Genomic DNA, 13,564 nt, shown 5'->3' with positions numbered 1-13,564 from the left:
TTCTGGGCAACAGATTGCTTTGAGATGCCCATGAAAGTTGTAGACCCTTCTTCAATCAACATTTTGCATTCAGTTTTAGGAGGTGCACAGGATTCGGCCAGTCAATCTATTGATACCAGACTCAGAACTACTGATACTCAACCTTATTTTTGATTAATTTGTCAACTATATTAGGCTTTTTAAAATAGAAAAAGTTCCCACAAGACCATTATTATTTGCTTTGTGGATCTCTCAGAAGGAATCACTGGATTCACATTTAAAATTTAACTTTAGGAGGTGGAGTTTAGATGGTGAATTTTCCTCTTACAGTGGGTAGTTATTTGATAATATTAGACCATAGGACTTCCCACATCCATCAAAATGGGCTGAATGTAGGTAATTGTCCTAATTACCATAAAATTAAAACAAAGTATTGTCTTTTTCCTTGTCCAAGTTTATATAGGTCTAGAGGGTTTGGTTGAATGAATGTGTGTTCAGATTCTCCTTTTTCTTCAGTCTCTTTCTGTTTGTATTGCTTAACATTGTTTAGGTAAAAGTAACACAGAGCACAGAAGGCCATGATCAACCACAGCTGATAAAAACACTGCAGAAAGGAGAATACTTTGGAGAAAAAGCTCTTATCAGGTGAATTCATGAATTATATGCCATACTTTGGATAAAATGCTTCGACTATTTTTTATATAAAATCATTTAGAGTTGTTAAATTGAGCTACCAAGTTAATGGCAACAAATATCCTAATATTAAATATTTTGAAGTGATTTCTTAAATTTTTATGCGGGAAATGAGTATGCTAATTTGCAGAGGAAATAATTGGAAAATCTTAAGTTTGCTAGTGAAAATGAAATTGGTGTTCTATTAAACTTTTTAGTTTCAAAAAAGGGTCTGAGAAAAGGTTAAAAATGGAAAAATTACACTTGTATACAGATCTTTATATTCCCAACATTTGAAATATTGCCTACTTTAGAGTTTTCACCTTTTTAAAAATTACGAAATAATTTTATATATTTTGTGTGCTTTTAAATCATCAGGTCAAAAGTATTTTTCTTAAGAATTTTTATCAGCTCGTTTTGCAAGTTTTAAAAACAACTCAAAATAGTATATTTGCAATTTTTACCACAACCTTCAGTCTTGAGGTATGAGTTTATTTACTGTTGATCTAATTTATGGAAGAAATATTTTTAAAAGTTAATTAAATGGCTCGAGGGACACTTTGCATTTCCTGGAACTCATAAAACCTCAAGTCTGATCAAATGCATTTTCCTAAATATAAATAACTTTATAAAATATTAAGTTAAAGTTAGAGCAACACACTTTATTGGAATTATCTATGTTTTCAAGTTAATACTTGGAATTATTTAAGAAATCAGTTAAAATTTACATATGATTAAATGCATTTGTTTCAACTGTATGCTTTTGGAAAAGGAATAGTATTCCTGTTCATTTATCTTCTTAACCTTTGCCTATGAAACCCCAATTCTGCTGATTTGTAGATCAGGTTTACATAAGTACAGAGCAAAGAAAAAGTGTTCAGATATTACCTGAAGACAAATTTGAGTCTTTAAAAATCACAAATCTCTTAGTTTTTAAAGAAAACCAAAAAAATAAAGTTTTAGCTATTATGTAGCAATTTAAAAGTGGGATTTAAAGATAAGCTGAATTCTTCTTTACCACTTTATAGCCGGTAATGAACTTGTTTCAATATTAGGAAAATTAATATTCTTTGTGTTTATTTGTAACAGAATATAAATACATTCATGCAATATAATAATGTAATATCATTATCCAGGGCTTCAGTGTCTTTGTTCTTAACGCTTACAGATTTTCTCATACTTTCAAGCAAAACAACGGAAGCTTGAAAGTGCACAGCACTTTATAAATGCAGTATAGAGTCAAAATAGCTCTTGAAAGAAAATATGTTATTCAGTTTTGCTGGGCCTGAAATAATTTATGCTATATGTTGTGGCTAGCCAATTATAGTGTTTTCCAATAAAAAAAGCATGGGAATTTATGTTTAAGATAGACACTCAACTCCTAAAGGTGTTTGAAAGCATTAAGCTAAAATCAATGAGAAGGAAAGTTGGAGACAAATATTTTTATATTTTTGTGCCTTTTAATGCTATCACATTTTAGGGCCACTGACCGTGATTCAGTAATCCTTATATTCTGTATATTTCCATGACTTGACATTAAATAGTCCCTGGAGTTCTTTCAGAATTTTATGTGCAAAAATAAATCTATGGCACTTACACAGTTACTATGGAAGAAACATAAGTGTATTTGCATACATCTAATACTTGTAAAATGTTTGCAGAGAATATTCTCAGTCAAAATCATGATACTGACATGCAAAAGGAATACCATATGCCTTTCCTTTCTCTAAGCTCACAGATCAAATGGTTGGCCTACAATCAAGATCATGTCTGTGTCTATGTCTATGTCTATGCTTATGTCTATTTCTAGATCTGTCTGGCTCTACATCCACCATCTCTATCTCTATCTCTACCTCTACATATACAAGCACAAATTTTCCTGCTGCTGTCTCAAAGGTCCATGAAACTGAAGTGTTTTCACTGATATCTTCTAACAAGGACCCTGTAAACTTGGGAGGGACAGTGAGTTATGTCAGAAGGTCTCAGAATGTGAGCTAGGTAGATAGGGGTCTTTGAAATAGTAGAGATGGGCTGCCAGTGTTTTTCCTGTCCCATTACTAAGAGAAGGCAAAGGAAATACACTTTGTGCGATAACATTTTTGATGAAGTTGCCTAGAAGAGTCCCAAAGCATACTCCAGGGTATGCTTAGTACTCCCAAGTCATCTTAAATGAATCTCAGAGCACTGGGTGCCTTGTGGATGTACCTTTTGTGTGTGTGTCTTTTAGTTTATAACTAATAGAGGGAGGAAGCTAATATAAGTAAAGGTCTGTAAAGAAGTACTTTACCTGATACCCACTGGCATTCATTAGGTAATTAAATTTGCTACCATTGGATCATATATAATTGCAAGATGTCAATTATAAGATGCACTGCTATATTATATACACCTAAGAAAAAGAAAATGCTGCTAATTACACTACAATTTATCAATTTTAAGACATGCTCTAATTTCAGAGATTTTAATGGAAAAATATACACTTTACACTTTGAAATGAAAGTATTTTAGTATTTAATTAATTGGGTGATATGGCACTGAAACTACTTTTTTATTTTATTAATGATTGGTTGATCTTATGCTAATTACTTGACTGTTTTTCCAATACATTTCTCTGATAAGTTAATTTCAGTTTTGCCTTCTTGTTAGTGAATAGTTCTCCTTTGATCAGAGGAGAGCTATTTTATTTTGACTTTCACAAAGCTCAGAATGAGATTCCATAAACATTTGTAGTCACTTATTCTTCTCTGTTCCCAGTGCAATTATCTTCTTCTCCTCTGAATTCTTTGTGTACATAACCTCTACTGGGGCACATTTCAAATCTTTTTTTGGGGGGATATAAATTATGATGTTTAAAAGCAGCAGTTTTTGGGAGGTGTAAGTGATGGTGGTGTTTTCATACAAAGTTAGTACATTCCCTAATAAAAGTGGATGTTTAATTTCTAATTATAGTGAAAATTGACTTTCCTATTTTTGTTTGCAGTGATGATGTCAGGTCAGCTAACATTATTGCTGAAGAAAATGATGTTGCATGCCTGGTTATAGATCGAGAGTGAGTATACTGATGTTGGAGGAGGCAGGCCACTGCCACCTTTGAAGACTTGGCCTTCTGTTACTTCAAGGCCGATCTGTTTTCTCATTCATCACCACTTGGAAATACTGGCCGATCTCAGCTGCAAGTACATTCTATTAAAATTCATGGGAAGGAACAGGGCCTTCTGATCTGAATCGGTCTGTGGCAGGGGCAGATGCTGGAAGGCTAAATATTTTGTGTACAGAGTTTATACATAAATATCAGCAATAGGCTGATTTAAATTCTGCATCTTCTAGGGAAGTAAGTTGATTCGTTCGCTTATGGATTTCTTCCATACAATATAGTGAACAATTACATAATTTATTTCTAAAATGCCTTTAGTGGTCAATTTTTGAACAAAACCTTCTCTCAAAGCATAAAATATATATTAGCTACATATTTTTCCAGAGTGGCTTTAATTGAACATTTGTTGTAATTTGTAAGTGATGTGTGTCAATATTAATCTCTAAATGTCTTAGGTTATTCTTCAAAATAAGTCTCATTTTATATGCATCACTCATTTGAAATAATGTTTGAATCTGCCCCCCTGGGTTTCTCATTAATCAACTCAATATTTCTGGTTATCTACTTGACAAAATGAAGGAAATTCAGTGATACCAAAGGCAGGCCATTGTCAGAAAAGTCATAGTGTAGTCAAAGAAATAGAGCATACGCATATGAAATATTAACAAAGATTATAAAATGACAACAGATATCACAAGGTAGTATATAGTTGACTGTTAAATACAACATTTATTGAAAATAGAGTCTAGAGATATAGAGCTGGAAAAAACTTTAGAGCATTTAAAAATATATTTTTATTATAGAAAATTTTAAACATATCAAAAAATAGAATGGTATCATGAACCCATAATGCAAGTTAAACAATGATCAATTTATGCCTTATCTATACCCCTTTACCACTTCCTGCTATCTCCACACTATTTTTAAGCAAATTCCCAACATAAAATTATTTTATCTATACATTTTAGTTGCATTTCTAAAAGCTAAGTATTACATGTAATGCATGACCACAATAAGGCTAACATGCCTGAAATGTTAACAATAATTCTTAATATCACTTAGAGTTATTTTAATTCTCTCCTCTACAGATACAAAATGAGTCCCAGGTAGGTTACATAATTTCCCCAGCAGTGCTCCCTGTGTTGGAGCCGTCCCTGTCCAGGCTTTCTAACTCATTTCCCCATGCTTCCCACCATGCCAGTTGGCTCCCAAGCATGTGTTCAAAAAGAGGAGCAATCACTATGCAGTAAAGTGGTCAAGGTTTTATTTTAATTTTTAGGTGTGGAAAAGGGATTTAAAGTATTAACAGGACTTTTCTAGGCAAAGAGGAAATGTCAAAGTCACCCTAGGTGAAATAAAACCCTCAAGCAAAAACATAGGACTAGAAAAGTGTGAAGTGTGTTCAGATAAAGGTAATCTTTGGATGCCAACTCTCAAATGGAAAATATATTGGTACAGTATTGTATCAATAATGCATTGTTTTCTATATATGTTCCTTAAAATATGTGCAAGCACTGAGTGGCATTAGCTGTGTGGTAAAATATTATAAATGGATGCAAAATGCTAGGACTACAAATAGGATAGAAAGGAGGAGCTCATTTCTTTTTTCTTCATTGTAATCACATACACCACATATTTATACAATGTCTCATGTATTCATAATCCATAAAGAGGATGCAATAATTTTATATGGCTTACAAGTTACTTGCCAGTTTATAATTTTAAAATGTTTAGTTCATGTGTGTATAATTTAGAGTCTGCAATATACAAAGTATTGCATTAGGCACAATGAGACATAAAAATTACGTGAATATTTTCTGTGGATAAGACAAACTGATTATCAGATATAACTAGGTTTACTTACATCTTGGATTTACTGAGACAGTTCAGATTACACCAGCATATTTAATATTGACACATCATTTCACTCAGAAATATATTCCAGCTTGGATGATAAATTATATGATCATCCTAGCTATGACTTATAGACTAGAATAAGATCCCACAATAATGCTCTCATAGCAGCCTTTATACCCTTGTCATATCATTATAATACCTTGATTGTTTTATTTAACATCTGTCTCTCCATGCTTCTGTAAGCTTCATAAATACAGAAACATGTAACTTGTTCACTGTGGTTGCAGTGCCAGCCTTTGACATAGTCCTTGGCATATGGGAAGTGCTCACCAGATGGTGGCTGAATACAGGGCACCATCCTTGCAATGAAATATAGTGACTGAAAGCCAATGACTTTTTATTTCTTCTTTCTTAATTCATGATTTTAACAAAGGCTTAGATTGCTTACAGTGCAAGAAGGAGAGTTAAACTTTGAGTTATATTTCCTATTTTTAAATGTGATAAAATATGAAATAACCCTTTTGTATGGCAAGAGCTCTAAACAAATGGGAAATGCTATTTGTCACATCTCTATCACTGACTGTTGGGACAAATTTCAAAAAAAAAGTTCATTAGTTATTGCTCAGGCTATAGCATCTGAATTAATGTAGGCTATTTGAATATCACAGCAACAATTTTGTAGCTGTTTAAACTTGACTTTAGGATTAGTTAGTGGAGAATTTCTAGAGACCTATAGCACCCATCTCACCTCTATTTAGAAAATAAGATTTGTTTACAGTAATACTGCAGTTAGTTTAATAGCCAGCAAAATAATGGTGAAGTATAGAATAAATAAAAGTAAAACAAAGTAAGAGTGTTTCCTTTTTAACAGAAAATTTCAACTATTGGAGATTAGAAAATTCATAGCCATCCTGTTTTATGTCTCACTACTCTTCAGTCGACAAAGGTCAGTCCATAGAACAGGCTAGAAAAGAGTAGAGAATAGATCTGGAGGGGAAAGGAAAAATACCCTGCACAGTAGGTAATATGTGCTTAATAAAGTAAATATAGATTGGTTGTCAAGTAAATGGGTAGAGGCAGTAAGTTGAGACAGCACAATATTGAGGTGGCTCTGGCTTATTAATTTTAGGTATTTTGAGGTAAACTCACTCTTTTCATTCTACTGTGTACTAGGTACTTAAAATGTTACAAAGATGATTAAAGCATGGTCTTTACTTTTAAGAAGGATACTATTTTGTAGTAGGGAAAAGAAGTACCCTAATAATTACCAGTCAAGATGGATTGTTGGAGTTAGAAGCAGGGAAGCATTGGAAGTAATCAAGAAAGTTGACCTTTCACTGGTGAGGAAAAGGATTATTTTTTCTCAAGGGCATAGGACTATGTTAGAATTCCCAGTGATCATGGACAGGAGACAGAGTGATTAGATCAGGCCTATGAGAAACCTGTGATCCAGGAAGGGTGAGAAAGGTAATGAGATGTTGGCTGATCCTCAGAGAACTACTAAAGTAAGGTAAAATGATTTGGATTTAATTATGAAGGAATGTGAAATGGAGAGAGTTATCTTGAGACAAGAGATAAATTTTATTCTTGATTTAAAATATATATAGCTTAACTTTATTAAGCAAAGTTAAAAGAATCTGTAACCCCTGTAACCTGTTGATTCAGTAAACACATCATGTAAGGCTGTTCCCTTCCCACTATCTTCTCTAAAAAATTGTTGTTAAACCTTGTGGAGGAATAGGAACACTTTTACACCGTTGGTGGGACTGTAAACTAGTTCAGCCATTGTGGAAGACAGTGTGGCGATTCCTCAGGGATCTAGAACTAGAAATACCATTTGACCCAGCCATCCCATTACTGGGTATATACCCAAAGGAATATAAATCATACTGCTATAAAGACTCATGCACATGTATGTTTATTGCGGCACTACTCACAATAGCAAAGACTTGGAACCAACCCAAATGTCCAACAATGATAGACTGGATTAAGAAAATGTGGCACATATACACCACGGAATACTGTGCAGCCATAAAAAATGATGAGTTCATGTCCTTTGTAGGGACATGGATGAAGCTGGAAACCATCATTCTCAGCAAACTATCGCAAGGACAAAAAACCAAACGCTGCATGTTCTCACTCATAGGTGGGAACTGAACAATGAGAACACTTGGACACAGGAAGGGGAACATGACACACCGGGGCCTGTCATGGGGTGGGGGGAGGGGGGAGGGATAGCATTAGGAGATATACTTAATGTAAATGACGAGTTAATGGGTGCAGCACACCAGCATGGCACATGTATACATATGTAACTAACCTGCACATTGTGCACATGTACCCTAGAACTTAAAGTATAATAAAAAAAAAATATATATATATATATAACCTTAAATACAAGGCAGAAAACTATAAAAAAGTTTCCTGTTCTCATTAATAGCCCCTTTGCTTTTATAAAATCAAAGGATCAATTATATATAGCTTTTAATAACCCTTGTACATATTACATCAACTTCAATATTTCATAAATTATTTAAAAAATGATTTATAAAGTCAGGAATAACCAGCTTGTGTTTTATGAGCTTAGAAGAATGTCAAGTTGCCTTGGTAACTATCAGCACGGAGCATTTTACTTTATTCTATCTATTTAGAACATTCAACCAAACTGTCGGTACATTTGAAGAGCTGCAAAAATACCTTGAAGGATATGTGGCAAACCTGAACCGTGATGATGAAAAAAGACATGCGAAGTAAGTGGAGGAATGTTTTCCTGAGCCGGAGCTGACTTCTGGCAGCCAATAAATAAAGAAGGGGACAGAGGGTGTGACTTGCTGTGTGGTAACTTTTAATGTGCCTTCACTAGAAAATTCTGGAGAGTTCTTTTGAATTGTTCTTCCACAAAGACAACACCACTTCCACTAGAATGGATATTATCTATTAGAAATAGTCTGCTCCTTTATTTTGGATGATGAGTAGGAATGTTAGGGAGAGGTGTTCTAATCCAGGGCCTTACAAAAGGGATATTTTATGTTGCCTGGTGACTTAGCTCAAAAAGACATTAATATTTGATTAGAGGTAAAGAGCAGGGTTATAGTTAGAATTTTTTCAAAATGTAAGGAATCTATTGCCCAGGGATATGTGGAGGAGGGGGTTGGGTAGGTCTCTAAATGTAGTAATAGTGATTAATTTTTTGTGTGTACTAGAAAACTCTACTTTTGTTAAATGAAAATTATTTGAAAGTTGTTTGCTGAAACATTTTTTTAGAGTGAATGCTTAAGCACATGTTCACTAGATAGTGCTATCAAAGCCATATAGTCAAAATTCTTAGAAAACTTAAATTTGAATTAAATTAGAATATTCAATCAGTACTTCATATGTTTTTGCAATTTTTACGCTGAAGGCCTTTTGTGGTAATAATTTATGAATATGTAACCCAGACCGGTAAACCTTAATTAAAAGAGAAAAAAATGGATATTACTTAGACATAAAGTAAGAAATGTACTTTTCATATTTCACAAAGCAGTTATTTTGGTTCAGCCATGCAAAGCTTCAAGATCTGATAAAACTAGCAAAACGTGGGAAAGATTGTCAATGTGGCATTCTCCTGTACATGCAGCAAAGGAAGTGGCTTCCTTGTTTCATTCCCATTCATTGACTGCTTTTCATGGTTGTTTTTTAACAGCTTTTTTGAGGTATATATATTTTTAGTTAAAAAAAATTTCCACACTGAGAAGAAACCTAAGAGGTACATTTTAAGTACCACAAACTATACCCATTTTACCTCTCATTGATTCAACTTGGCATTCGTCTATTTCCTGGTATATGCATATGTGTGAGTTTTATGTTTGTATATTCTATTGTTTTCTCGCTGCGTGGGACTGAATCTGATCCATAAAAGTTGGGATAGCCTTTGTGGCAACTATAAATCATAGTTACAGCAGAAATTAGACTGTCGTAGGAGTGAAATTTATGTATGGCATGACACCTTCTTAATTATGGGTGTGTGTGTGTAAAGTTTCACTTCTCTTGTACAGGCGGTCCATGTCTAACTGGAAGCTGTCCAAAGCACTCTCTCTGGAAATGATTCAGCTGAAGGAGAAGGTGGCCAGATTTTCCTCATCATCCCCATTCCAGAACCTTGAGATTATTGCAACACTGGGCGTTGGTGGGTTCGGAAGAGTTGAGCTTGTAAGGGGTTTACGTTTCAAGCATCTGAGAGAAGCCTTTTGACTTTTTTTTTGTTTTATATTCCAGCATATCTTGGAGGAATATATGAATTGTTACTGCTATCTTAAATGTTGCTTTGAACTGAAATTGAGAAAGTAAACTTTTCACTCTGTATATTGTATAGTAGCAGGTCTGTGCTAGTAAGTAACTTGTAATAATCAACTGCTAGTTCAAGCTTACATCACGTCTTTTGTGAATTTTCTTCTCGATGATTATCAATATACTAAGTAAGCACGTCCAAAAGGAAACATAAAATAATGTATTTTCTAACAGCAAATGCGTGTCTATATACATTCATGACACATTTAGTCTCTATACACTAAAGAAAAGAAGAATGTGTCAAGTGAAAATGCCATAGAGGTGAAATATTCAATGTTATAGTTGTGTTCTTTAAACAACTCCAGTACCATGTCTGTATTTCACCTTCATTATTTTGTTTTTGGGTTGCTCAAAATTTCGTATTGTGAGAAAAGAAAAGAAGATGAATGAAAGGGAATATTTGAAGAGAAGCCTTCTGTAGTGTTGATCAGGATATCTGGGAACTTACAGCCTGATTTTAGTTGTGCCTTCCACATCACCCTCTTTCTGAGCTATCAGCTTCCAAGGAGTAGCAAAAGTGGTACTGTCAAACAAGTATTCTAAGGAAAATGTGGAATAGAGATCTGTGGCCTTACTGGGTACAGATGGCTCTGAGGCCTTGGCAATTACCGAGTCCTTCTTTGCCCATCAGATTTTTAAGGATTCACCATACCTTATCTTCTGGGAACTCTGCTGACCTGTTGGTCTGCTGGCTGGCTTTGGGCATGAGCAGATTTGAAATGCTGTCAGGGGAGTCTGGACAGTACACTTCAGACCCAGTCCTTGCTTCATCTCTGATGGGGGCAGGGACAGATGTTCCTTAGGATAAATAATGTGTGTAATGTCTCTTATACCTTATGGAGAGATAAAGATAATACCTGTCTGCAGTGGTATTTTTCGTCAAAGTTTGTGGCAAAAGGATTCAATTAACAAAGCTGAGATCTGTTTTCTAATAATAATTGAAGCAGTAAATCCACCATTGATTTAAAAGTCATGGGCAGCACTAATGGCAAACATGAGCAAAATATGGAGTGCAGCCATTTCTGCACAATGTAGTTACTTATCTAGCATAGTCTGCTTATGGAGTTTTAAATCTATCAAAAAATTATTTTAAAATGTTTATTTCCTTTTTAGGAAATACTTGATCGTGCATCTAGAGTAGTACTGTTTAATAGAACTGTGCTGAGGGAAATGTCTTATATCTGTGCTATTTAATAGGGTAGCCACTAACTAGATATGACTGTTGAGCCTTTGAAAAGTGGCTAGTATAACTCAGGAACTGAATTTTTAATTTTATTTAATTTAAATTTACATAACCTCATGTGATTTGCAGTTACCATATTGGATGGTACAGATATAGAGCTTAGGCTGGGTGCGGTGGCTCATGCTTATAATCCCAGCACTTTGGGAAGCCAAGGTGGAAGGATTGCTTGGGCTCAGGAGTTTGAAATTAGCCTGAGCAACATAGTGAGGCCCCACCTTTATAAAAAATACAAAAATTAGCTGGGTGTGGTGGTTTATACCTGTAGTCCCAGCTACTCAGGAAGCTGAGATGGGAGGATAGCTTGAGCCCAGGAGGTCAAGGCTGCAATGAGCCCTGATTGCACCACTGCATTCTGGGCGACAGAGTGAGACCCTGTCTTAAAATAATAATAATAATAATAATAAATCTTGCTTTGAAAGCAAAGTGAATAATAAAAAAAGGCAATTCTAGTCAAAGTTTTTAATGTCACCCAATTAAAAATAGAATAGCTATCTAAATATTAAGTCTAACAGAATTTTATTTTGCTTTAATACAAAAATTTTAGAGCCACATCCCAGATAGATGAACTATTCTAGAAATAGTGATGAAAGGGAAGTGTGTACACTTGAATGAAAGTTCTCAAAGGGATAAGTGGCTAAGGGCTTCCATACTAATTAAACATGAAACAGTTTTAACTCTCATTGATTAGTGTGTTTTATATAGATATAAGTTAATTTTGAGGTATCTTTCCATTTCTTACATAGGTTAAAGTAAAAAATGAGAATGTTGCTTTTGCTATGAAGTGTATAAGGAAGAAGCACATAGTTGACACCAAGCAGCAGGAGCATGTCTACTCAGAGAAGAGGATCCTAGAGGAGCTGTGCTCTCCATTCATTGTGAAGTAAGTGACCACTTGGCTTCCAAGGAGTTAGGATTTTCAGGCTCTTTATTTATGTATTTACTTAAATTATTTTTATTTTTATTTTTAATTTTTGTGGGTACATAGTAGGCATATATATTTATGGGGTACATGAAATGTTTTGATACAGGCATGCAATGCATAATTACAGCATGGAAAATGGGGTATCCATCCCCTTGAGCATTTATCCTTTGTGTTACAAACAATCTACTTATACTATTTTAGTTATTTTACAATGTCCAATTAAATTGTTACTATGATGCCCCTGTTGTGCTATCAATTGCTAGATCTTATTCTTTCTTTCTATTTTATTTTGTACCCATTAACCATCTCCCCTTCCTGCATGTCTCCCCACTACCTTTCCCAGGCTCTGGTAACCACTCCTCTATTCTCTATCTCCATGAATTCAATTGCTTTGATTTCTAGATCCCACAAATAAGTGAGAACGTGTGATGTTTGTCTTTCTCTGTCTGGCTTATTTCACATAACATAACGACCTCCAGTTCCATCCATGTTGTTACAAATGACAGAATCTCATTTTTTTTGTATGGTTGAGTAGTACTCGGCTCTTGTTTTAAACTTTCCATGCAAGATGACAGAAAGAAGAGGTGGAGGAGGCCCCACTCTGGATTCTCCAACCCAGTCACAGCAACAGTACTAAAAATGTTAGAAGTTTGAGATCTGGGGTCAGATGTTTTCCAGTTGTTTTGATTCTTTTTTTTTTTTTTTTTTTGTCTTTTGAGACGGAATCTAGCTGTGTCACCCAGGCTTCAGTGCAGTGGCGTGATCTTTGCTCACTGCAAGCTCCGCCTCTGGGGTTCACGCCATTCTCCTGCCTCAGCCTCCAGAGTAGCTGGAACTACAGGCACCCACCACCATGCCTGGCTAATTTTTTTTTTTTTTCTATTTTTAGTAGAGACGGGGTTTCACCGTGTTAGCCAGGACGGTCTCGATCTCCTGACCTCGTGATCTGCCAACCTCGGCCTCCCAAAGTGCTGGGATTACAGGCGTGAGCCACTGCGCCCAGCCTGTTTTTATTCTTGAGTAAACATCACAAAAATGTGTGTGCGTATATATATATGTGTGTTTGAGTATGTGTGTATATGTATATATGAATATAAAATTATTGAGGAATAGTTTGAACTGGTTATTTTATTCAGACTTAATGCAGAATTGGGGACTAGGGAAGCAAGGATTTGTGTGAAACTCCTCAGAGAGCATCCTGATCTTGAATTTCTGCAGAAGGCAGCATTTGGGCACATGTGGGAAGCCAAGGGGGAATGTACCCTGGTCCTAGTAGTAGCTAGGTACCAAAACATCCATCTTCTAATAGTTATTCTTTCTGTAGCTGTCACAAGAGTTTGCAGAAGAAATATTAATTATTATAGACCACAGCTTTCTATCCTTGTGAATTCATGGGTAGGGGTGTAAGCCATCTTATGCTTTCATATATGTTATAATGCCCCAGAGTGTAGTTTTAGTGATTTCTGGGTAA

The 13,564-nt window shown here is 35.0% G+C and overlaps 1 protein-coding gene across 11 annotated transcripts in view; it reads left to right on the top strand.

Moving 5' to 3' along the window:
• Positions 1-13,564, top strand: part of PRKG2 (protein kinase cGMP-dependent 2) — a 130,467-nt gene that overhangs the window by 65,253 nt on the left and 51,650 nt on the right. For 7 of the 11 annotated variants that reach the window (XM_017008415.2, XM_017008416.2, XM_047415963.1 and 4 more), the window contains 5 exons: positions 530-624; positions 3,632-3,700; positions 8,254-8,352; positions 9,637-9,790; positions 11,915-12,051. In XM_017008415.2, coding sequence (XP_016863904.2) covers positions 530-624; positions 3,632-3,700; positions 8,254-8,352; positions 9,637-9,790; positions 11,915-12,051 — 554 coding nt within the window. Of the gene's footprint in view, positions 1-529; positions 625-3,631; positions 3,701-8,253; positions 8,353-9,636; positions 9,791-11,914; positions 12,052-13,564 lie in introns of those variants that run through there. The other 4 variants (NM_001282482.1, NM_001282485.2, NM_001282483.1 and 1 more) reach the window with 3 other exon arrangements.

The sequence above is a fragment of the Homo sapiens genome, chromosome 4, assembly GCF_000001405.40.
Source record: "Homo sapiens chromosome 4, GRCh38.p14 Primary Assembly".
Taxonomy (NCBI): domain Eukaryota; kingdom Metazoa; phylum Chordata; class Mammalia; order Primates; family Hominidae; genus Homo; species Homo sapiens.
Note: the sequence above shows the minus strand (reverse complement) of the source record. Positions and strands in the feature narration are given on the sequence as shown.